This window comes from Homo sapiens, chromosome 19 (assembly GCF_000001405.40).
Source record: "Homo sapiens chromosome 19, GRCh38.p14 Primary Assembly".
Taxonomy (NCBI): domain Eukaryota; kingdom Metazoa; phylum Chordata; class Mammalia; order Primates; family Hominidae; genus Homo; species Homo sapiens.
The window spans coordinates 23,095,447-23,118,236 of NC_000019.10; the positions used below are offsets into that span (position 1 = coordinate 23,095,447).

The 22,790-nt window shown below is 42.2% G+C and overlaps 1 protein-coding gene across 16 annotated transcripts in view; it reads left to right on the forward strand.

The window, feature by feature from the left end:
• ZNF730 (zinc finger protein 730) overlaps nt 1-22,790 on the forward strand; it is a 72,011-nt gene that overhangs the window by 20,236 nt on the left and 28,985 nt on the right. For 2 of the 16 annotated variants that reach the window (XM_047437995.1, XM_047437994.1), the window contains exons 3-4: nt 98-930; nt 2,894-2,967. The exons of 1 other annotated variant lie outside the window; for it this stretch is intronic. Coding sequence is in view for 1 of the 15 variants with exons in the window: in NM_001277403.2 (NP_001264332.1) it covers nt 21,728-21,730 (3 nt within the window). In the remaining 14 variants the exon portion in view is untranslated. Of the gene's footprint in view, nt 1-97; nt 931-2,893; nt 2,968-4,603; nt 11,607-21,578; nt 21,731-22,790 lie in introns of those variants that run through there. 13 more of the 16 variants (XR_001753564.2, XR_001753566.3, XR_001753565.2 and 10 more) reach the window with 13 other exon arrangements.

Here is a 22,790-nt window from a genome sequence, read left to right on the forward strand (position 1 = left end):
CAACTCTATTCTCCTACCTGGCCCCTTCTCACAGAAGAGATTGTAACATATCACTGGGCTAAGCACCTAGCTCACATGACTCTCCCCCTCTTTCTAGATTCTGCCCTCAGAGGACATTGTGACATGTCACTGGGCCTAATACTAAGATGACATCATTCTTTAGTTTTGGCACTGCCCTCAGAAGCCGTGGTGGTGTATTGCTGGGCCCAGAGCCAATGTGATGTGAGTCTCCTGCCTGGATCCTGCCTACAAGGTGCATTGTGACATACCTCTGGGCCCTTTGACTATTTTATGTGACTCTCCTCTCTTACCTGGATGTTGCCCAAAAAGAGATTGTGACATACTTTGCACCCAGCACTGAGGTGATTTGACTGTCCTCTTCTGCCTGTGCTTTGCCTACAGGAGAGAGAGTGACTTATTACTGAGTTTAGCATACACATGATGTGATTTTCCTCCACTCACAGAAGTCATTGTGACATATATCTTGGCCCATCACTGAGATTGTGACTGTCTTTTTCCTGGGACCTGTCCACAGTGGAGAGTATGACACTTTTTGGCCAAGCACCTACAAGATACGACTCTCTTCTTACACCTGGGCCACTGGGGTGATTTTGACATGTAGTTGGCCCCAGCTCCAAGATTATGTGACTCCACACTTCTTCCTGAGCCCTACCTACAGGTAGCATTGTGTCATATCTGTGAGACCCTCAATTAGGTGAAATGACTCTTTGTTTGGGCCCTCTTCTCAAGGTACCGTGACATTGCTGGGCCCAGCATCTAGGTGATGTAACTCTACTGTACTGTTTGGTTTCTGCCTAAAAAGGGATTGTGACATACCACTCTATCAAGAACCTAGGTGAGGTGACTCCTCTCCAGCCTGGGACCTGCATACATTGCTTATTGACACATATCACTGGCTCCAGCACCTAGGTAATGCAACTCTCCTACATGGGCCCCCACCCATAGGGGTATTATAAGATATCTTTCTATTAATCACCTAGGTGGTGTGACACTCCTCTTCTGCCTGGGCCCTCCCAAAAAAGTATTGTTACACATCACTGAGCCCAGCACCTAGGTGATGTGACTCTTCTCTCATGCATCGGCCCTGCCAACTGGGGTGTTTGTTACATATAGCTGGGCGCAGCCCCTAGGTCATGCGATTCTTTTTTTTCTGAGCCCTACCCACAGAAGGCATTTTGACATATTTTGAGCCCATCATTTAGGTGATGTGACCCTTTTGCATGGGCCCTCCCCACAAGGGGTACTGTGACATATTGCTGAACCCAGTACATAGGTGATGTGACTCTGCTCTATGGATTGGGCTTTGGCCAAGCAGGGCTGTGATGTGTTGCTGGACTCACCACCTATGTATTGTGATTATTCTGTTCTGCCTAAGCCCTGCGTACAGTGTGTATTGTGACATATGCCTGGATTTAGCACCTAGGAAATGTGACTTTATGGCATGGGAACTGTCCACAAAAGTGTTATGACATCTTTTTCATCACCTAGGTGATATGACCCTTTTATTTTCCCGGTTCTGGCATATTCTGGGTATAGTAACATATCATTGAGTCCAATGCCTATGGGATATGTGGCTCCTCCCTGGGCCCAGCACATAGAGTGCCTCATTGACATATCTCTGCATCCATAGTCTAGGAGATTTAACTCTTCTCCTGACTTTCTTCTCCTGCCTAGTTTCTTCACACAAAAAGTATTGTCACATATCACTGGGCCCAACAGCAACAGTAACAATGATGTTACTCTTTGGCCTACTGTTTGCCCTCAGAAGGCATTGTGACACATTACTTGGCCAACATCAAGGTCATGTGCTTCTCCTGCCTGGACGCTGTCACAGGGGACATTGTGACATATCTCTGTGTCCATCACCCAGGTGAGGTGAATCTTTTCACCTGCCTGGTGTCTGCTTGCTGGGGGATAATGATATATATTGCTGATTTCATACCGAGCTGATGTAACTCTTCTCGTCTTCATACATCCTGCCCGGAAGAAAACTGAAATATTGCTGGGCCCAACACCAAGGTTATTTGGCCTGGCCCCGCCTTCAAAAGGCATTGTGACATATTGCAGTGCCCAGCACCAATGTAATTTGTCTCCTGCCTACACCCTGCCTACTTGGGGCATTGTGACATGTCTTGGCCCATCAACTATTTGATAAAGCTCTCCTTTCTTACCTGGGTTTTTCCCATAGTAGAGATTGTGAAAGATCTCTGGGACCAGCACCTAGATTATGTGACTCTCTTCTTTTGCCTGGGCCCTTTCCACGGGGATGATTGTGTCATATAGTTTTACCCAGCCCCTAGGTTATGGTTTCTGTGACATATTGCTTGACTCAGCACATAGGTGATATGACTCTTCTCCACCGCTTGGACTCTGTCAAGGAGGTATTGTGGGCCAGGTGTGGTGGCTCATGCCTGTAATTTCAGCACTTTGGGAGGTCAAGGCAGGTGGGTCACCTGAGGTCTGGAGTCTAAGACCAGCCTGGCCAACATGGCAAAACGCTGTCTCTACCAAAAATACAAAGAAAAAAATAGCCGGGTATGATAGTGTGCCCCTGTAGTCCTGGCTACTTGGGAGGCTGAGACAGGAGAATCACTTGAACCCAAGAAGTGGAGGTTGTGGTGAGCCAAGATCATTCCATTGCACTTCAGCCTGGGTGACAGAGTGAGACTCTGTCTCAAGAAAAAAAAAAAAAGAAGGTATTGCAATGTATCACTGGGACTGACACCTAGGTTATGATACTCTCTCCTGCCTGAGCCCTGCATAAATTGTATATTTTGACATAGCACTGCATTCAACATATAGCTGATGCAACTCTAGCACATAGGCCCTGCTCATGGGCATATTAGGACATATATTTTTCTTCATCACCTAGGTTATGTGAATCCTCTTCTTCCCAGATCCTGCCAAAAGGAAAGATTGTGACATATCACTGGAACCAGCACTTAGGTAATGTGACTTTTCTGCTCTGCCTGAGAACCACATTTTTGGTATTGTGACATTTCACTGTGCCAAACACCTAAACGATGGGAGGCCCTGCCTCAGCCCTGTCCACAGGGGTTCTTGTGACATATATCTGCATCTATTACATAAAAAATGTGACTCCATTTCTACCTGTCCCCTGCTTACAGGAAAGATTGTGACATAGTGCAGGGTCCAGCCACCAGGTGATGTGTCTCTCCTACGTGTGCATTATTTTTAGGAAGAAATGGTAACATACCATTGGTTGAGAACTCAGGTGATATGACTCTCCTGCCTGATCAGTGCCGTCAGGGAAAATTTTACATATCATTTGCCCAGCATCCAGGTGATGTGACGGTTCTGGGTACTTTCTGTCAACAAGTAGGTTGGTAACGTATAGCTTAGCCCAGCTCACAGGTGTGATGATGACTCTAATACTTTGTACCAGCCAATAGAAGAGATACTGTCTCTCACAGCTAGGCTTAGAAAAAGGGGTAAAATCCTGGGTCTCCTCTCTGTATGAAGGTTATAGAGAATTAATACTCTCGCATATTGTATAAAGCCCTCAGATGGTACAGAGAGTGTCGTCATAGGAAAAAGCAAACAGATTAGATCATGTTTCTTGTAAGCACACTGTCAATTTTTAGAATTACCACTATCACACAGGGACAGAACCCACGGAGGAGTTCATGATTCTCATGTGCAGATGCAGTCCATAGTTAAAATTGTGATATCATATGTGAACATCTGGCCACAGTTGAGATGGTGACTCATTTCTAAACCCAGGTCATAGGCAGGTGAGGACTGTCCTCTGTGGACCCAGCCATTCGGAGAATGTTGACTCTCATACCTAGACTTAGAGCCGCATAAGATCATAGGTCCATAGCACCACAAAAATCTCAGAGCAGATTGTGACTCATGCATACCATATAAAGCCCTCAAATGGTACAGAGAGTGTCTTGACAGGGCCAAGCACAGAGGTGAGATTGTGACCCTCATATTCACAACCAGTCAACAGTAGAGATTGTCATCTGCTTAAATAAACACAACCCACTTCTGAGGTTCTGAATCTCACATTGGGAGGCAGTTGAATGTTGGAAAATGGACTCTGTTTGTGGATTCTGTCCACAGTTGGGTTGATGACTCTTTAACCAAAATTCAGCACACCTTTGTGGCTGTCACTTCACTAAGGCACAGGGTTTACAAGAGAAATTGAGGCTCTCATACACAAATCCATTCCACCATTGAGATTGTGACTTCTTGTACTTAGACCCAACTTGCAGGAGATGTTGACTCTCATTCCTTGACTCAAGACCTTGTCATTTTTAATGTCACCAAAAGACCTTCTTATAGGTGTGATTGTGACATGTGCCTCTGCCCAACGTCTGAGTTATTTGACTCTCACCTGGGCCCAGTACCCAGTGACATATTAGGGGACCCAGACCTTTGGTAATGTCACTCTGTTCTGCCTTGATATAGCCCACAGGAGGCATTGTGACATATCACTGGGCCTTGCACTCAGGTGATGTGAGTTTTCTCTTCTTGGTGCTGCCGCATAGGTGTATTGTGACATATTGTTGGGCCTAAGTTATGTGACTCTCTTGCTTGTGTTCTTCCCACTTAGGCTATTGTGACATATGCCTGAGGCTAACACCCAGATGATATAAGTCTTCATCCTGGACCCTGTCTACAGAAGTCATTGCGATATATGTCTTCACCAATCACTGAGGTCGAACGCCCAGTGATGTGACTCTCCTTCCTGGTCCATGCCCTCAGGGAAGATTGTGACATACCCCGGCCCAGCACACAGTTAATGTCACTCTTGTGCTTGCTGTCTACCCATGGGTAGGATTGTGACATATATCGTGGCCAAGCACAAAGATGTAATGACTGTCATACCTCGAAGAAAGCAATAGAGTTAATGTTGCTCCTAGGTAGGCTTAGGAAAATGAGGAAGTCGTCTTTCTGTTCAAATCTCACTCTCTGACATATATAAAGCCCTAGTGTGTTACAGAGAATGTCATAACAGGGCTCCTCACACAGGTGAGATCGTGTTCTATACACAGCCCACCAATCTTGAGAATTGTCACCCTCACACATGGACAGAGTCCACTGGTGAAGTCCTGAATCACACATGAATGCAGTTCACAATTGGAATTGTGACTGTCATCATTGAACATCTAGCCACAATTTGGATGGTGATTCTTTTTTTTTTTTTTTTTTTTTTTTTTTTTTTTTTTTTTTTTTTGAGACAGAATCTTGCTCTGTCACCCAGGCTGGAGTGCAGTGATGCAATCTTGGCTCACTGCAACCTCTGCCTCCTGGGTTCAAGCGATTCTCCTGCCTCATCCCCCTGAGTAGCTGTGATTCCAGGCACCCGCCACCAAGCCCAGCTAATTTTTGTATTTTAAGTAGAGACAGGGTTTCACCATGTTGGCCAGGCTGGTCTCGAAGTCCTGACCTCGTGATCTGCCCACCTCAGCCTCCCAAAGTGCTGGGATTACAGGTGTGAACCACCATGCCCGGCAGTGATTCATTTCTAAACCCAGCTTGTTAAAAGGTGAGGACTCTCCTATCTGGACTAAACCAATAGTTTAGTTTAGTTAGGATAGATGTTGATGCTCATATCTGGGCTTGGAACCACAGGAAAGATCTTCTTGGACAAAGGTCACAGAGGATTACCACTCTTGCATATTGTATAAATCATCAAGTGAAACTATCATAAGAGAACATAGCACATGCGTGAGATTTTGTCTTTTGAATGTACACCCAGGCAACAGTAAAGATTGTCATTCTCCCATATTGAGGTTCTGAATGTCAGACACAGAGACTGTGAAAAGTTGAATAATTGACTCTCACGTGGATCTGGACTAGAGGTGGACTGGTGACTCTCAGAGCAAGATTCAGCACACATAAGAGTCTGTGACTTCACTGAAAGGACAAGCCTGCAGAAGAAATTGTGGCTTTCCTGCCCACATTCTGTCAACCATTGATATTGTGACTCACATACTTAGACCCAACGTACAGAAAGTGTTGACTCATACCTAGCACCTGGACATATATGGAATTTCTACTCTAATTCCTGGACTTTTCTGCAGGTGTGATTGTATGCATCTGCTACCCACCTTAGTGATTTGACTTTGCTGCCTTGGCCCAGCCCACAGATGAGATTGTGACATATCGCTTGACTCTGCACCTTGATGGTGCAATCTCCGCTCACTGCAACCTCTGCCTCCCAGGTTCAAGTGATTCTTCTGCCTCAGCCTCCTGAGGAGCTGGGAGTACAGGCATGCACCACCACACCCAACTAGTTTTTGTATTTTTAGTAGAGACGGGGTTTCACCATGTTGGTCAGGCTGGTCTCGAACTCCTGACCTCGTGTTCTGCCCGCCTCAGCCTCCCAAAGTCCTGGGATTACAGGTATGAGCCACCATGCCCGGCCTCGCTGGGCCTTTCACCCAGATGATGTGAGTTATTTTTCTTGCATTGGTACTGCTCACAGGGTGCATTGTGACATATTTCTAAGCCCTTCACTCAGGTTATGTGACTACTTTTTTGCCTGTGCCCTAACTATTTTGCATGTTAGGACATATTATGAGGCCCAACACCTGTAAAATAGAGGCTCCTCCCTGGGCCTTGTCTACAGAGGGCCTTGTGACATATCTCTGCATCAGTCACCTAGGAAATGTGACTCCGTTTTTGCCTGCACTCTGTCCACAGGAAACATTGTGACTTATCACTAGGCCCAGGTACTAGTTGATGTGTCTCTGGTAACTGGGCCTTGACCACAGAGAGGATTGTTACCTATTGCTGGGCTCAGCCCCCATGTGGTGTGACTGTACTGTCTGTGTCCTGCTTTCAGGAGAAGGCTGTAACATATTCCTGGTTGAGTATTCAGGTGATGTGACACTCCTGTTTGGTCCCTGCCTTCAGAAAAGATTGTGATGTACTCCTGGCCAAAAACCCAGGTGATGTGACTCTTATCTCTCCCTATTCACAGGTAAGATTGTAAAATGCCTTGGTCTAGCTCACAGGTGTGATGATGTTGATCCTTTTTTTTTTTTTATTTTATTTATTTTTTTTATTTTTGGAGATGGAGTTGCTCTGTCGCCCAGGCTGGAGTGCAGTGGTGTGATCTCAGCTCACTGCAACCTCCACCTCCTGGGTTCTAGGGATTCTCCTGCCTCAGCCTCCCAAGTAGCTGGGATTACAGGTGCACACCACCAATCCCGGCTAATTTTTGTATTTTCCGTAGAGACATGGTTTCAGCATGTTGGCCAGGCTGGTCTCGAGCTCCGTACTTCAAGTGATCTGCCTGCCTCAGCCTCGCAAAGTTCTGGGATTACAGGCATGAGCCACCGTGCCCGGCCACAAGTGTGGTGGTGACTCTCATACCTCAAACCAGCCAATAGGAGAGATCCTGTTTCTTATAGCTAGGCTTAAAATCATGAGTATGGTCATGGGTCTTCTTGTACGAAGGTCCTAGAGAAATACCACTTTCTTTTATACTATATAAATCTCTTACTGTACAGAGATTGCCATTCCAGCGTTCAGAACACAGGTGAGATTGTGTTTCTCATATGCATACCCCAGCAAACATTAAAATTGTCATCTTCACACATGGACAGGGTCCACTGGTAAGTCCTGAATCTCACACATGGAAAAAATCCACAGTTGAAATTGTGACTGTCATATATGAACATCCGGCCAGAGTTGAAATCATGAGTCATTTCTAAATTCAGTTTATAGGCAAGTGAGAATTTTTCTATCTGAACCTGAGAGAATAAAAGGTGGTTTTGAATTAGACAAAATAGAGCTAAAAGTTCAAACAAATGGTGGAAGGATTGTAAAAATCTTGCAAAGAATTCCATGTGTGGTTATATTGACTAAATTCAAAAAGGTACTACATGGTTTTTCTGTAAATAAAAAATTGAAATAAAAGCACAACAAGGTACTCGTAATGCACTAATCTGCTTTTTAGCAAACTTTGTTAACGGTTATAACAGATTGTTGCTTCTTTAAAATTTTGGAGTCATTGTAACAAAATAAATAATTTAGGATAATCTGAAATTCTATTTTATAACATCAAGTGTTTCAAATCTCTAACACTTAACATGCTTCCCAAAATCATACTTTAGTTTCAAAATTGCCTTTCCTGATTCCTGGCTTTTGGATACTTCAGAGGGTCCCTGGAGTATCTAAAAGAGAGGTAAACAGAATTATTTGACATGTTTAGGTACATGAGATTGGCAAAATGGTGTTTATTCCATCTTTAGGTTATATTTTGGTGAATAATACTAATATATGTTCCAAAATTGTTTGGGATTTCTAAAATTCTAATATATGGTATCAATGGTAATTAAGGTTGTTATGTTAAGTTATTGTAAACCACAGAGATAGCCAAACTTCTTTGTCAATTGTGTTTCTAACTGTAACTAACCTGGACATTTTGTTATTCACAGACAAGTGTTGTCTTGTCTTAATTATTTTTAAAAGATGGTTTATATTAAACTATAGAACTTTCACAGGTGCTTTCAAATACAGGTTTCTGATAGCCTTGGAGATTGTGACATTGGAATAAAGGAAAAAAGGACAGGATTCAGGGCCGGGTGTGGTGGCTTACACCTGTAATCCCAGCACTTTGGGAGGCCAAGGCAGGTGGATCACGAGTTCAGATCGAGACCATCCTGGCTAACACGGTGAAACCCAGACTCTACTAAAAATACAAAAAATTAGCATGGTGGCTGGCACCTCTAGTCTCAGCTACTCGGGAGGCTGAGGCAGGAGAATCGCTTGAACCTGGGAGGCGGAGGTTGCAGTGAGCTGAGATCACACCACTGCACTTTAGCCTGGGCGACAGAGAGAGACTCCATCTCAAAAAAAAAAAAAAAAAAAATGCACAGGACTCATGAGGAGCTAAAATGTTCACAAATATCAAGCAAAACAAGAGTTAAGTAAATGGACTGCACTCAGAAAACTAAAGCAACCTTTTTGACTTTTGCTTGGTATATTGCTGATCCTTGTTTAATTTTTTAGAGTCAAGGAAACTTGTTTTTAACTACTATTTATGGCCTTCAATAATTGAGTAAAGTATACTCCTATGAACAAAATTAGGAATATGTTTGTTTTTCTCTGCCTCTTTCCTCTAGAATTTGGAAACTATCTGTGAGTATTCTCAACTTATGGCAATATAGTTGTTTGTATGAGTGCAATAAGAATCCATTTTCTTTAGCAACAGGATGCAACTGGAGAAACTGTTTGTTTGTTTGTTTTAACCAAGGCTTTGACTGAAAGGGTATGCTTCCCTTTAAAGAGTCAAGCTTGACTTGCAGAGATGATAAAAGCCCCTTGAAAAAACTGCCCTCATATCCTTGTCTACACAGTCTCTGTACAGCGTTCCTGACCTGTGGTCAGTGAAAAATATCACTTTTTAACAGGCCTAGGAGCTCCAAGTTTGTCTTGGGACCTTAAAAGGAAAGGATTACCCAGCTCACAGGTATTTGAGGATACAAACACATGGCTGTGCTCAGCTTTAGAAGGTCTTATTCCTTGTGGAAGATTTCCATCGAAGCCAATCTAAAAGGCCTATGTAGAGATAGTCATTTTTGCTCACCTTATGCAAATAATCAGGGCGAGTATAGGACTAAAGGCTATGTTGCAAACAACTCAGTCCTGTTATGATTTTTTCTTTTCTTTTTTTTTTTTTTTTTTAGATGGAGTCTCGCTCTGTCACCCAGGCTGGAGTGCAGTGGCACAATCTCGGCTCACTGCATCCTCCACCTCCCAGGTTCAAGCAATTCTCTGCCTCAGCCTCTTGGGTAGCTGGGATTACAGGTGCCCGCCACCATGCCCTGCTAATTTTTGTATTTTTAGTACAGACAGGATTTAGCCATCTTGGCCAGCTGCTCCTAAACTCCTGACCTCATGATCCACCCACTTCGGCCTCCAAAGTGCTGGGATTACAGGCGTGAGCTACCATGCCTGGCCAGAACCCAATATTTTCTACAATATTTTATACATTTCTTTCTACATGGATTATATAAATTGGGCTTTCCAGCAGAAAAAGGAAAAGAAAAAGCATATGTCTCAATGAGAGCACACAATTATGAGAATGGCAACCATGTAAAGAAAAATTGCAAGGACTTAGTGCTGATGAGGATTTACAGCAACTAAAACTAGAAATGTAAAATGATACAGTAAAACAATTTAACGGTTTATTGTAATGTTATATATACATTTATCATATTACCAGGATATCCACTCCTAGGTCATTACTAAAGCAAAGTGAAAACTAATGTTGAAATGCAAACCTTTTTGTGGCTGTGTATTGCTAACTTTATTTTCAATTGCAAAAAGCTAGGTATAAACCAGTTGCTTTATAGCAGTTGAATAAACTGTGGTGCATCCATAAAATAGCATCCTAGTTGTCAACAACAACAAAAAACAAATTATTGATCTACGCCACAGTATGCATGAGTCAGACATGCATTTCCTTCAGTGAAGGAAGTAAGATCCAAAAGGCTACATATTACATGATCCAATTATATGGCATTGTAGAAAAAGAAAGTTATAGAGATTGATTATAATCAAGCTAGGCTTGATAGCTCAAACCTATAATCTCAGCATGTTGGGAGGCTGAGGTGAGAGAGTTGTTTGAGTCAGGGATTTTAAGAGCAGCCTGAGCAATATAACAAGACCTTCCTAAAAAAAAGAAGAAGAAAGCAGAAGGAGAAGGAGAAGGGGAGATGGAGAAATAGAAGGAGGAGGAGAAAAGGAAGGGGAAGAAAAAAGAGGAGGAGGAAGGAAAAGCAGGAGGAAGAGGAGAAAGAATAACAAAAAGTAGTAGTAGTTAGGACGATGAAACAGTTCTGTGTGGTACTCTGAAGATGGGTATGTGACTCTAGACAGTTGTCAAATCTTATGAAACTGAACATCACAGAGAATAAATTTTCCTCTGCAAAACAACACAAAACAAAAAAAATACATTGATTTGGAGTATATTTAGATACAATGTAGAAAATTTTAAAAGGAGCTTAACCTAATAGAAATGTATTACCTAACCCTATTAAAGAGGGTTGGAATGAGGCCAGGCATGGTTGCTCATGCCTGTAATCCCAGCATTTTGGGAGGCCGAGGCAGGTGGATCACCTGAGGTCGAGAATTTGAGACTAGCCTGACCAACATGGAGAAACCCCATCTCTACAAAAAACACAAAATTAGCTGGGTATGGTGGCACATGCCTGTAATCCCAGCTCCTCGGGAGGTTGAGGCAGGAGAATCACTTGAACCCAGAGGTGTATGTTATGAAGAGCCAAGATCGTGCCATTGCACTCCAGCCTGGGCCACGAGAGCGAGAACTGCGTCTCAAAAAAAAAAAAAAAAAAGGTTGGAATGAAAGGTCTTAATTTAAATCACTTTGAAAAACAGTGTTTTGATTGAATACTGCAAGAGTCAAAAACTATACACAAACTGTATTCTTGTTGTTTTTTCATAAGCATATGAATTAGCAATTTTTAAAACTATATGTTGGCATATACACACACGCATAGTAATTACTGCCTGTTTTTTGAACTTGAAAAATGTTAGCATCAAAGGGAGAATTTTAGAATAAATGATGTGATGCTGGACCGGAGTTGCGCATGTTTTTGTTTTTTTTTTTTTGAGACAGTCATTGTCACCCAGGCTGTAGTGCAGTGGTGCATTCCTGGCTCACTGAAGCCTCCACCTCCCAGGTTCAAGTGATTTTCATGTTTGAGCCTCCTGAGTAGCTAGAATTACAGGTGTGTACCAACTCACCTGACTAATTTTTGTATTTTTAGTAATGATGGGGTTTCACCATGTTGGCCAGGCTGGTCTCAAACCCCCTTGATCTGCCCACCTTGACCTTCCAAAGTGCTGGGATTACAGGTGTGAGCCACCACACCTGGCCTGTTTTTTCAATAAGACTTATGACACCCACCTCAGACTTCCAAGTATCCTGGACCCTCTGGTGATATCCTGTCTCTACTTTAAAAAAAAAATACCAAAAAAAAAAAAAAAAAAAAAAAAAACCACCACAGCTCTGTTTTTTGTTATTTTTTTAAAGTAGAGACAGGGTCTCACCATGTTGCCCAAGCTCGTCTTGAACTCTTGAGCTCAAGCAGTTTGTCCCTTTTGGCCTTCCAAAGTGCTGGGATTACAGGCAGTGTATTACTTGGTAAGAATTCATTAAGCTTTGCATGAATTAATGATTTCCACGTATATTTCTGTATGAATGTTTTATATCAACAAAAAATTACATAGTACATATTTGCACAAAATGCTAACTCATCTCAGAATAATGGCAGCATCTTTTGGTTTGTTTATGGTGGAACACACTCAGGACAAGATCATACAGATTGTAATATTCCAAGAGGAGTATTAAAGCCCCACCCCTTGGGTGAAACTGTAGGTCTTTTTATTTTTACCTCAGTTTGGTTCATGGTATGTTTTTTATTTTAAGAGAATGCAATTTTTTTGTTGTTGTTGTTTGTTTTTTCCAGAAAATGTCCCCTCACAGCAATGATTGCCAACGCCGAGGCACCTAGCACAGTGTCTTGCTCAGTGGGTACTCAGTATATATGGAACTGGGTTGATTAAGGCACAAAACCAACAGCAAGGTTGGTTCAGTGAAGAATAATTTAGTAATACTGGTTAGACTAAAAGGCCATGACTTAGCAGCAAACATTTTTACATTCATTTGAGAAATAATTTACAATTAGGTCACCTAAAAATGTTAATTTACAGCGGTGGCATTTAAGCTTGGCTGCTCTGTCATCACCTATACAGATTAAAATCACACTGTTGCCCAGGTTCAACTCAAGCAATTCTGATTTAATTAGGGTGTTGCAATTTGTGTTTAGGGGATTTTTAACACCACCACCCCCTCCCACCCCCACGCTGCCCCAAGTGATTTTTACATGCAGTCTGGGATGAAAACAATTGGTTTAGGATGAGGGATGGATTCACTGTGTGTGATTATCATGAGTGCTGCTGAGATTTGTCCCATGGCTGCTTCTGACTTTGGGATTTTGAAAAGCAGCGCTGCCATTGTAAAAATCAAAAGACAGCTTCAAGATGTACTCAAATACTTTGCTAAACTGCAACAGAATAAAATGTCTTCTTAGCAGCTCGGTCTATAGTCACTTTAATTCAAGGTAAGAGATTGTTTCAGGTACAGTAGTTTTAGTAAGTGTTGAAAATCATAAATAGCCTACACATACCAAGAAACTATTTTAATCCTTTGACATATTTGACAGGCTTTTCCAAATCAAATTTTAGCTTACAAATTGTCTTTTTTTTTTGTTTGTTTGTTTTTGTTTTTGAGACAGAGTCTCACTCTATTGCCCTGGCTGGAGCACGGTGGTGCGATCTTGGCTCACTGCAACCTCTGCCTCCCAGGTTCAAGCAATTCTCCTGTCTCAGCCTTCCAAGTAGCAGGGATTACAGGTGTGTGCCACCATGCACGGCTAATTTTTGTATTTTTAGTAGAGACGGGGTTTTGCTATGTTGGCCAGGCTGGTCTCGAACTCCTAACTTCAGGTGATCTACCTGCCTCGGCCTCTCATTAAGTGATGGGATTACAGGCATGAGCCACAGCACCCAGCCAAAAAATTGTGTCTTTTTTGACCTCTAACTTTTGGATGCTATAGAGTGCCAATGCAGCATATAAAAGAATAAGAAACAGAATTTTTTTTTTGTTGAATTACATGGAAAGCATTGTCAAAAATGTTTGATCTTCAACTTAATATTTTAATAAATGTTATTAATGTTTATTTCAAAATGTATGAAATTTCCTTTTTTTTGAGACGGAGTCTTGCTCTGTCACCAGGCTGGAGTGCAGTGGTGCAATCTTGGCTCACTGCAACCCCGCCTCCCAGGTTCAAGTGATTCTCCTGCCTCAGTCTCTCAAGTAGCTGGGACTACAGGCACACACCACCACGCCCAGCTAATTTTTTTTTTCCTTTTTTTTCTTTTTTTTTTGAGGCGGAGTCTCCATCTGTCACCCAGGCTGGAGTGCAGTTGTGAGATGTCGACTCACTGCAGCCTCTGCCTCCAGGGTTCAAGTGATTCTCCTGCCTCAGCCTCCCGAGTAGCTGGGATTACAGGCGCCACACCCAGCTAATTTTTGTATTTTTAGTAGAGATGGGGTTTCACCAGGTTGGTCAGGCTGGTTTTGAACTCCTGACCTGACCTGGTTTTGAATTCCTGAGCCCGCCTCAGGCTCCCCAAGTGCTGGGATTACAGGTGTGAGCCACTGCGCCTAGCCTAATTTTTGTATTTTTAGTAAAGACAAGGTTTCACCATGTTGGCCAGTATGGTCTTGATATTTTGACCTTGTGATCCACCCGCCTTGGCCTCCCAAAGTGCTGAGATTACAGGCGTGAGCCACCGTGCCCAGCCAATGTATGAAATTTCTAAAAATCTAATTTATCTGAGTATATCTAATTGTCATAATTATGGTTATTATGACAAATTATTGTAGGCTGAAGACATAATCGATTTCTTTTATTTGTTTCTTTATAACCATTTTTTTTTTTAAGACGGAGTTTCACTTTTGTTGCCCAGGCTAGGGTGCAGTGGTGTGATCTTGGCTCACAGCAACCTGCACCTCCCAGGTTCAAGCGATTCTCCTGCCTCAGCCTCCCAAGTAGCTGAGATTACAGGCATGCACCACCATGCCTGGCTAATTTTTGTATTTTTAGTAGAGAAGGGGTTTCACCATGTTGATCAGGCTGGATGGTCTCGAACTTCTGACCTTGGGTGATCCACCCGCCTTGGCCTCCCAAAGTGCTGGGATTACAGGCATGAGCCACCGTGTCTGGCCTCTTTATAACCATTTTTTTTTTTAAGACGGAGTTTCACTTTTGTTGCCCAGGCTAGGGTGCAGTGGTGTGATCTTGGCTCACAGCAACCTCCACCTCCCAGGTTCAAGCGATTCTCCTGCCTCAGCCTCCCAAGTAGCTGAGATTACAGGCATGCACCACCATGCCTGGCTAATTTTTGTATTTTTAGTAGAGAAGGGGTTTCACCATGTTGATCAGGCTGGATGGTCTCGAACTTCTGACCTTGGGTGATCCACCCGCCTTGGCCTCCCAAAGTGCTGGGATTACAGGCATGAGCCACCGTGTCTGGCCTCTTTATAACCATTTTAAGTCATTTCCACAGTTAATGGTCTAATTCTAATGCAGTTTCTCAAAACTCCAAAAGCTTGCAAAATTGTAAAATATAGTGTCTTTAAGGAGGTTTATGAAAGTATGGGTAAAGTCGAGTATAGGTTTCTGATCAGTTTGGGATTAATTGTTTGGACTGGGTAAGGACTCTGAGAATCCTAATGAAGAGATTGATTCTTATAAAACTGCTAACCCAAGCAAAACAAAGATTAATTAAATATTAGAAAAATATTCTGCCACATATTGTGTTAAATCAGCCAGTACTGAAGTTTTTTAGACATGCCATTTGAATGAACTCTGTGGCCTAAGTCAAATTACCTATGATAACCCCTCAGTTTTCAGTGCTGTGCACCTAAATTGTAGAAACCTGGTATTTAAGAGGACAAATTTAATGTTAAGTGTGGACTCTTGGAGAACCTAGACAGCCAACAGCTACTTGTTCATTCCTGAGTTCTTAAAGCTTCCATTATTAACAGCTCTGCATTCCATTACTCATCACAGAAGAGATAAAATAATCTAAATTAAATATAAATTAAGTTTGTGGTGACTCTTCTAAATTACTAAAATAGGTTAAGACCAATTTTTTTTGTCAAGCATATAATCCCAATAAGACAATCAAAACTTCTTGTACATTTCTGCTACCTGATGAGCCATTTAAACATTTATACAGAAATTTTATTTAATTGTCATTTTAATGCATGTTTTCTTGTATAAAAGTTTTCTCATGCAAGAGGGTTGATGTTATAACAGTAACTAAAAGGATATTAGGATACATGTTTTCTCATATCTTCAGTGATAAAGATACTTATTTCTCTAGACAAGTTGTAAAACTGTTAAACAAGATATTAGGCTGGGCATGGTGGCTTATGCCTGTAATCCCAGCAGTTTTGGAGGCTGAGGTGGGTGGAACACTTGAGGTCAGGAGTTCAAGACCAGCCTGATCAACATAGTGAAACCCCGTCTCTACTAAAAATTACAAAAAATTAGCCGGGCATGGTGGTGCATGCCTGTAGTCCCAGCTACTCGGGAGGCTGAGGCAGGAGAATTGCTTGAACCCAGGAGGCGGAGGTTTCAGTGAGCCGACATCACACCACTGCACTCCAGTCTGGAGATAGAACAAGACTCCGTCTCAAAAAAAAAAAAAGATAGATACAGTAGTATTGAGCAAAACTAACTAAATTGACTGGATTGCTTTTGTAATTGCAGATTGATGACATATCAGATCCATTTAGAGTGGAAAAAATATGTTGGCCATTTAAAAATAGTCATTGGAAGGCCTATGCACCTAAGAGAACCTCATGTATCTTCTGCTACTGAAGTCTAATATTACTAAATTCAAAAAGGCTTTAATGCATTATGACAAAGCATATGAAGAAAGCCTTAAGGTGAAGAAAGCCTTAATAGTCTACTGACTGTGGACAGTAAAACCCTTTATTATCTAGAACCCAGAGATTGAGTCTGCCTGCCATGTACACTGAAGCAAGACATCAAGACTTTGAAAGCTGGGTTGATAATCTCACAACTTAGAAGGGCCCCTCCAGACTCTTTAATTGTAAACCCATAGGAGATCTTAAAGCTAACCAGAAAGATTTCTCCTAAAAAGCAGATGGATATCTTTATGTAGATAGCTTTTTTAATAAGATCAAAAATCAAGACACATTTGCTATCATGATACTCTTAGTTAAGTTTGTTTATGGCTCTACAAACAATAGAAATTTAAAAAGCATCTTTTGTGTGCACTCATTGGGTATACTTATATGTAGAGAATTTTGCAGCCAACGTGTGAAAAAACATAACATCTTTTATAGGTAAAAAATGAAAGGCAGGCCAGGCACGGTGGCTAATGCCTGTAATCCCAACACTTTGGGAGGCTGAGGTGGGCAGATCATGAGGTCAGGAGTTTGAGACCAGCCTGACCAACATAGTGAAACCCCATCTCTACTAAAAATACAAAAATTAGTCAGCGTGGTGGTGCACTCCTGTAATCCCAGCTACTCGTGGGAGACTGGGGCACGAGAATCGCTTAAACCCGGGAGGTGGAAGTTGCAGTGAGCTGAAATCGCGCCACTACCCTCCAGGCTGGGCTACAGAGCGAGACTTCGTCTCAAAAAAATAGAAGAAAAAAAAAAAAAAACTGGAAGGCCAATATGGGTGAGAAATTTTAATGGGACATTTGTTGTCTCATCAGAAACAGAATGTGTGTCCACTGCTCTTAACCTATTTCACAAGTTAAAGAGAACTTATTCAAAATAGGTTAAAGAGCATTGCCAGGGTGCCATTACTTTTCTAAATGGGCATCCTTTGATAGGTCTTTTTTCCCCCTGGTTTAGAGTAAATGAGGCAATGGTTAGAAATGTATCCCCTATCATAGGGCTTTATAGCAGATTGCACTGTAAAGGCTATGGTTACACAATAGACTTTAAATTTTTTGCTAAAGTTGTGCTGAATCATATAATTTCTTTGGATTACTTACTGTATAAACAGAAGTGTCTGCAGTTGCTAATTCTTGTAGTTGCACATGGAGAAATACATTGGGTATTACAGAGATGCAGTTGTAGGGGATTAATGAACAGGCTGTTTGGTTAAAATAAGTAGACTATAGCTAATTATTTGATCTATGTAATGTTAGTTGGTGGTTCATGAGGACCCTGGTTAAAAAGCACGCTTCAAACTCTTCGTATTATCCTCCTGGTAGTCAAAATAGTAGTCTCCCTGCTGCATTGTATTCTCAAAAGTTAGAAATGTTTTCATGCAATCACCTGTAGAATATAAAATTGTCTCTCACTAACTGGAATGACAGAAACTCAAAGACATATGTAACTATGATGAAACCATAACCTAGGAATGACATAAGAACAAAGACCCTAAATAATGGAAACAGTGGTACTAAGGCCCTGAGTTTTGGTTACACTGTGCACTGTTGAAAATTTTTTGAACAAAATTATTAGAGGCCATCATTCTGGACTGAGCTTGTGCACTAGGTCCAAACAGACAAAATCAAACTGAAAATTTAAGGAAATAGGTAGATTCTGTAGGTTTTGTTTTTCTTCTGTAAACAGCAGATCTTAACACAAGGGGTTTCCCTCTACTCAAACCTTTAAAAATAATAATAAAATAATAACCTGAATTTCTTGATTCCACTTTACAAAACCCATAGTTCTGCTATTTCACAGTGGAATCTGAGACTAAGTACATTTTTGATGGTGACAGTGTTATCAATGTCTAAAGTTTTGGTCTATCAAAATTTAGAAGATGACCAAAAAAGGAGAAATTGTTTAATTATACCCTAAATCTACCCCCTTTCATGTTTAAGTTTGGTCAATAAGTTTTTTTGTTGTTTTGTTTTGTTTACATAGTAAACTGAAACCTAACTGAATGTGTAAATAGACTGTACTCATTTTTGTACCAACAACTGTGTTTTGGCCAATAAAAGGATGTCAAATGTTCAAACCATGTTTAAATAAGGAAAATCCCAAGCTGTAATCAATCTAGCTGTTCCTGTATTTCACTTCTATTTTCTGATGTCACCTTGCTTCTTCTGTCCATAAATCTTTCACCATCATGTTGCTGTGCTGGAGTATTTCAGAGCCTACTTTGGATCCACAGGCTACTCAATTTGCAAATCCCTCTTTGCCCAATAAAACTCTGTTAAATTTAGTTTATCTAAAGTTGTTTTTCTTTTTCTTTTCTTTTTTTTTTTTTTTTTTTGAGACGGAGTCTCGCTTTGTCACCCAGGCTGGAGTGCAGTGGAGCGATCTCGGCTCACTGCAAGCTCCGCCTCCCGGGTTCTCGCCATTCTCCTGCCTCAGCCTCCCCAGTAGTTGGGAATACAGGCGCCCGCCATCACACCCGGCTAATTTTTTTATTTTTATTTATTTTTATTTTTATTTTATTTATTTTTATTTATTTTTATTTTTAGTAGAGACGGAGTTTCACCGTGTTAGCCAGGATGGTCTCGATCTCCTGACTTCATGATCCGCCCGCCTCGGCCTCCCAAGTGCTGGGATTACAGGCGTGAGCCACCATGCCCGGCCCTAAAGTTGTTTTTCTTTTAGAAGTTTTCAAATGTATTCTCTGATCAAAAATGAATAATCTGTTGTTGGGCTTTGATTTTCTAAACTCATCCCTCAGCTATTTTTCCAAATTATTCTATGTCCTTTCAAAATGTTTCTGCAATTTTTTTGAGATGGGGTCTCATTCTATCACCCAGGCTGGAGTGTAGTGGTGTAATCAATTATGGCTTACTGCGGCTTTTACCTTCCATACTCAAGCCATCCTCCTGCCCTAGTCACAGAGTACCTCGGACTACAGGCATGCAACATCATGCTTGGCTAATTTTTTTTCATGAAGACAGGATTTTACTATGTCGCCCACGCTGTGTTTGAACTGCTGAGCTCAAGTTATTCTCCCATCTCAGCCTCACAAAGTGCTAAGATTACAGGTGTGAACCACCATGTGCTTCTGCAATTTCTTGACAGGATTATTTCCAATAATAAACAGTACTATGTGGGCACAAATCTAAAAAAAAAAAAAACTGTCTTCTTTTGCAGAAGTGTCACTCTCCAGAATTTCAAGGGTCTGTGGCAGTTACTCTAGTAATATAGTTTGATCTATGGAGGTGCCTGAGCTTTGGAGTCAGAATTTATCCTGAGGTTCAGCCCAGCCAATTAGTAGCTTTGGGTCTTTGGACAAGTTTCTTCATGTGAAAGAGTTGTATAAACCACATATGCAAAAAAGGCAGAATGATACTAATTGCAGAAATTGCAGCAATTTTTCATCCCTCCTATATCCTTTGCCACGTGCTTTTTTACAGCCGTTCCCATTGAGATATGGAATCTGTTTTCCAGACCCTAGATACGGCTGACCTTATTTCCTCAGGTCAGTAGAAACCTGTGAACATGACCGTGTGCCAGTTTGGGGCCTAGGCTCAAATGGTCTTGAATGCTTCTGCTTTTCTTTCAGAATGCTGCCCTCTCCATGAACAAAGCACATGTTAGCCAGCTGGAGGATAACATAACATGGTGGGTGGGGAAGAGAAGCAAAGTGCCTCTGTTGACAGAAGCAGAAGCTCACCCCCAGAAGCAGAAGCTTACCCCCAGAAGCACAGCTTCCTAGTCAAGAAGCAGTTGTTGATACATGTCTGAAGGAGCTCAGCTGGGACCAGAAGAATGGCCCCAGTGAGCCCAGCCTAAATGGCTGACCATCTCAATTATTACCTAATAAGTTTTGGATGGTTGGTTATGCTGCAATAGCTAACTAATACATGCACCCAGTGCAGATAGGTGCCATGATTTAATGACAGGTTGATTACTAGTTACCTTCTAACAGTGGGCTCCATAAAGGTACTAATATTTTCCCCTGATTTAAAGTTAGATGTGTTGTAAGATAATGTTGAGTAACGCTGCAATACATGTAGATATGTATGCATGTGATTGGTCCTTAGTCCCCGCACGCACAGGAGAAAACGTAAAACTACATCCTGACACTTAGGGCCAAGGCCAAATAGCAAAATAATTTTGCCTTTAATCTGTTTTCTTCATATCTAACATTGGAGGTCCAGACTGTGGACAGATCTGAAGACATAGAGTTTTCTTCCCCTGTGGCCCCATCATCCTTTGTTCAGTGTCTGATCTCTGGAAGAAAGGTGGTCACCAGATAGTGATCTACCTGTGGTTATTCTGCTTTTTCTTTTCTTTTCTTTTCTTTTCTTTCTTTCTTTCCTTTCTTTCCTTATTTCTTTTCTTTCTCTCTTTTCTTTCTTTCTTTTTCTCTCTCTCTTTCTCTCCTCCTCCCTTCCTCCTTTCCTTCCTTCCTTTCATCTCACTCTGTCACCAGGCTGGAGTTCAGTGGTACGATCTCGGCTCATTGCAACCTCCACCTCCTGGGTTCAAGCGATTCCCCTGCCTTAGCCTCCCGAGTAGCTGGGATTACAGGCGCGCGCCACTACTCCCAGCTACTTTTTTTTTTTTTTTTTTTTGTATTTTTAGTAGAGACGGGGTTTCACTTGTTGGCCAGGCTGGTCTCAAACTCCTGACCTCAGATGATCCACCCGCCTCGGCCCCCCAAAGTGCTGGGATTACAGGCGTGAGCCACCGCGCCCGGTCTATGTTCTTTTGATTTGTGAATATTCATATAGCGTATTATTTATAAATACATATGATCTTACACAAAAGGTTAAAGTCAGTACCCTCTGGGGTGGGCCTGTCTCAGTTCAGGGAGGAAGTCCTGCCCGAAAAGGCTGCAGCCTACGCTGTCACTCTTCATTCAGTCCAGCATCTGATCACATCTGTCACTCAGGGCCTGAGGGGGCGGGGCCTTAAACGTTATCCAATCGGGGACACTGGGCGGGGGGCCGTCCAATCAGGCCCGCAGCTGGAGCAGACAGGGCGGCTTCCGGGATTTGGCGCGGCCTTTGTTTCTCGCTGCCGCCGAAGCTCCAATTTTCGTCTGTCTGCTTTGTGTCCTCTGCACGTAGAAGCCCAGCCTGTGTGGCCCTGCGACCTGCGGGTATTGGGAGATCCACAGCTAAGACGCCAGGGCCCCCTGGAAGCCTAGAAATGGTGAGAGTGCCGGTCCGACATCCCGAGAGAGGGAACGGGGCTGGTTGGAACCGGTGGGAAGCGGCTGTGGCGGGACCCAGGCCTCCCCGCAGTCAGCTTCACAATCTGCGCCCAGAGTTCTTGCCCAGCTCGGCCTCAGTCCCCTTCAGCCATACGATGGCGGCCGCGCTGACAGCCGGGGCCCCGGCGTCCTGTCTCTTCCCTGCACTGTGACTGTGCCCTGCCCTGGAGCCCTCTCTGGGCAGCTCTGCACCCGCAGCGCTGCGTCTCTCCCAGATTATGCAGGAACCAGAGAGGATCGTCAGAGGAGAATCCTGACTCGGGCTGCGGGTTCATGAATGGGAAGAGCTTTGGTCTGTGGCGTTCCCAATTCCTCTTTCCTTCTGTTAAAAATTTATGGGAGTCATCACCAAAATATTAAAGAATTTAATTAAAGAATGATTCTAAAATTGTAGAGCACCCAGTTATGGGGTGTAGCTTGTTATCCATGGGACGGGCTTGAAGGAAAGACTTTCATAAGATGCATGATGCAAAAACCCAAATTCAGTAATCGGTTAGGTACAGTTACATAGTTTCTAAATTTGCACCTTGAGCGTACAAATTTTCTGGTTATGTAATCAGAGCTTAATAGGCAGTTTATAGTTTGTTACGCCTAAATTTTGTTTTCCTTAATGTAGTAATTTACAAAAAAATACATTTGAGTTACATTTTTTTTTAAAGTAGGAATCCAGGCATCGCAGCCACGTACCTCGAATTGCCTGTCACTTAACTATTTTCACACTCCACAGGAGACTGATCTTCTGCATTTTTTTTTCATGTTTCTCAAACGGGGTCTCAAGTCTACCCCTCAACCCCCATTCCTCCAGCCTAACTCTGTCTTGCAGTAAAATACTAAATTTCCAGTTTCTTCTGATTATCCCAAATGCCAACTTTCCCTCTCTAATTCACATTATTATCTGTTTGTCCTTTAGGGTACATTTTTGATACTGTATTTTAATTATTTTTTTACAAACCATTGGGTGGGACATTTAAAAAGATTTGTTTTCTGTTTGTAAATATC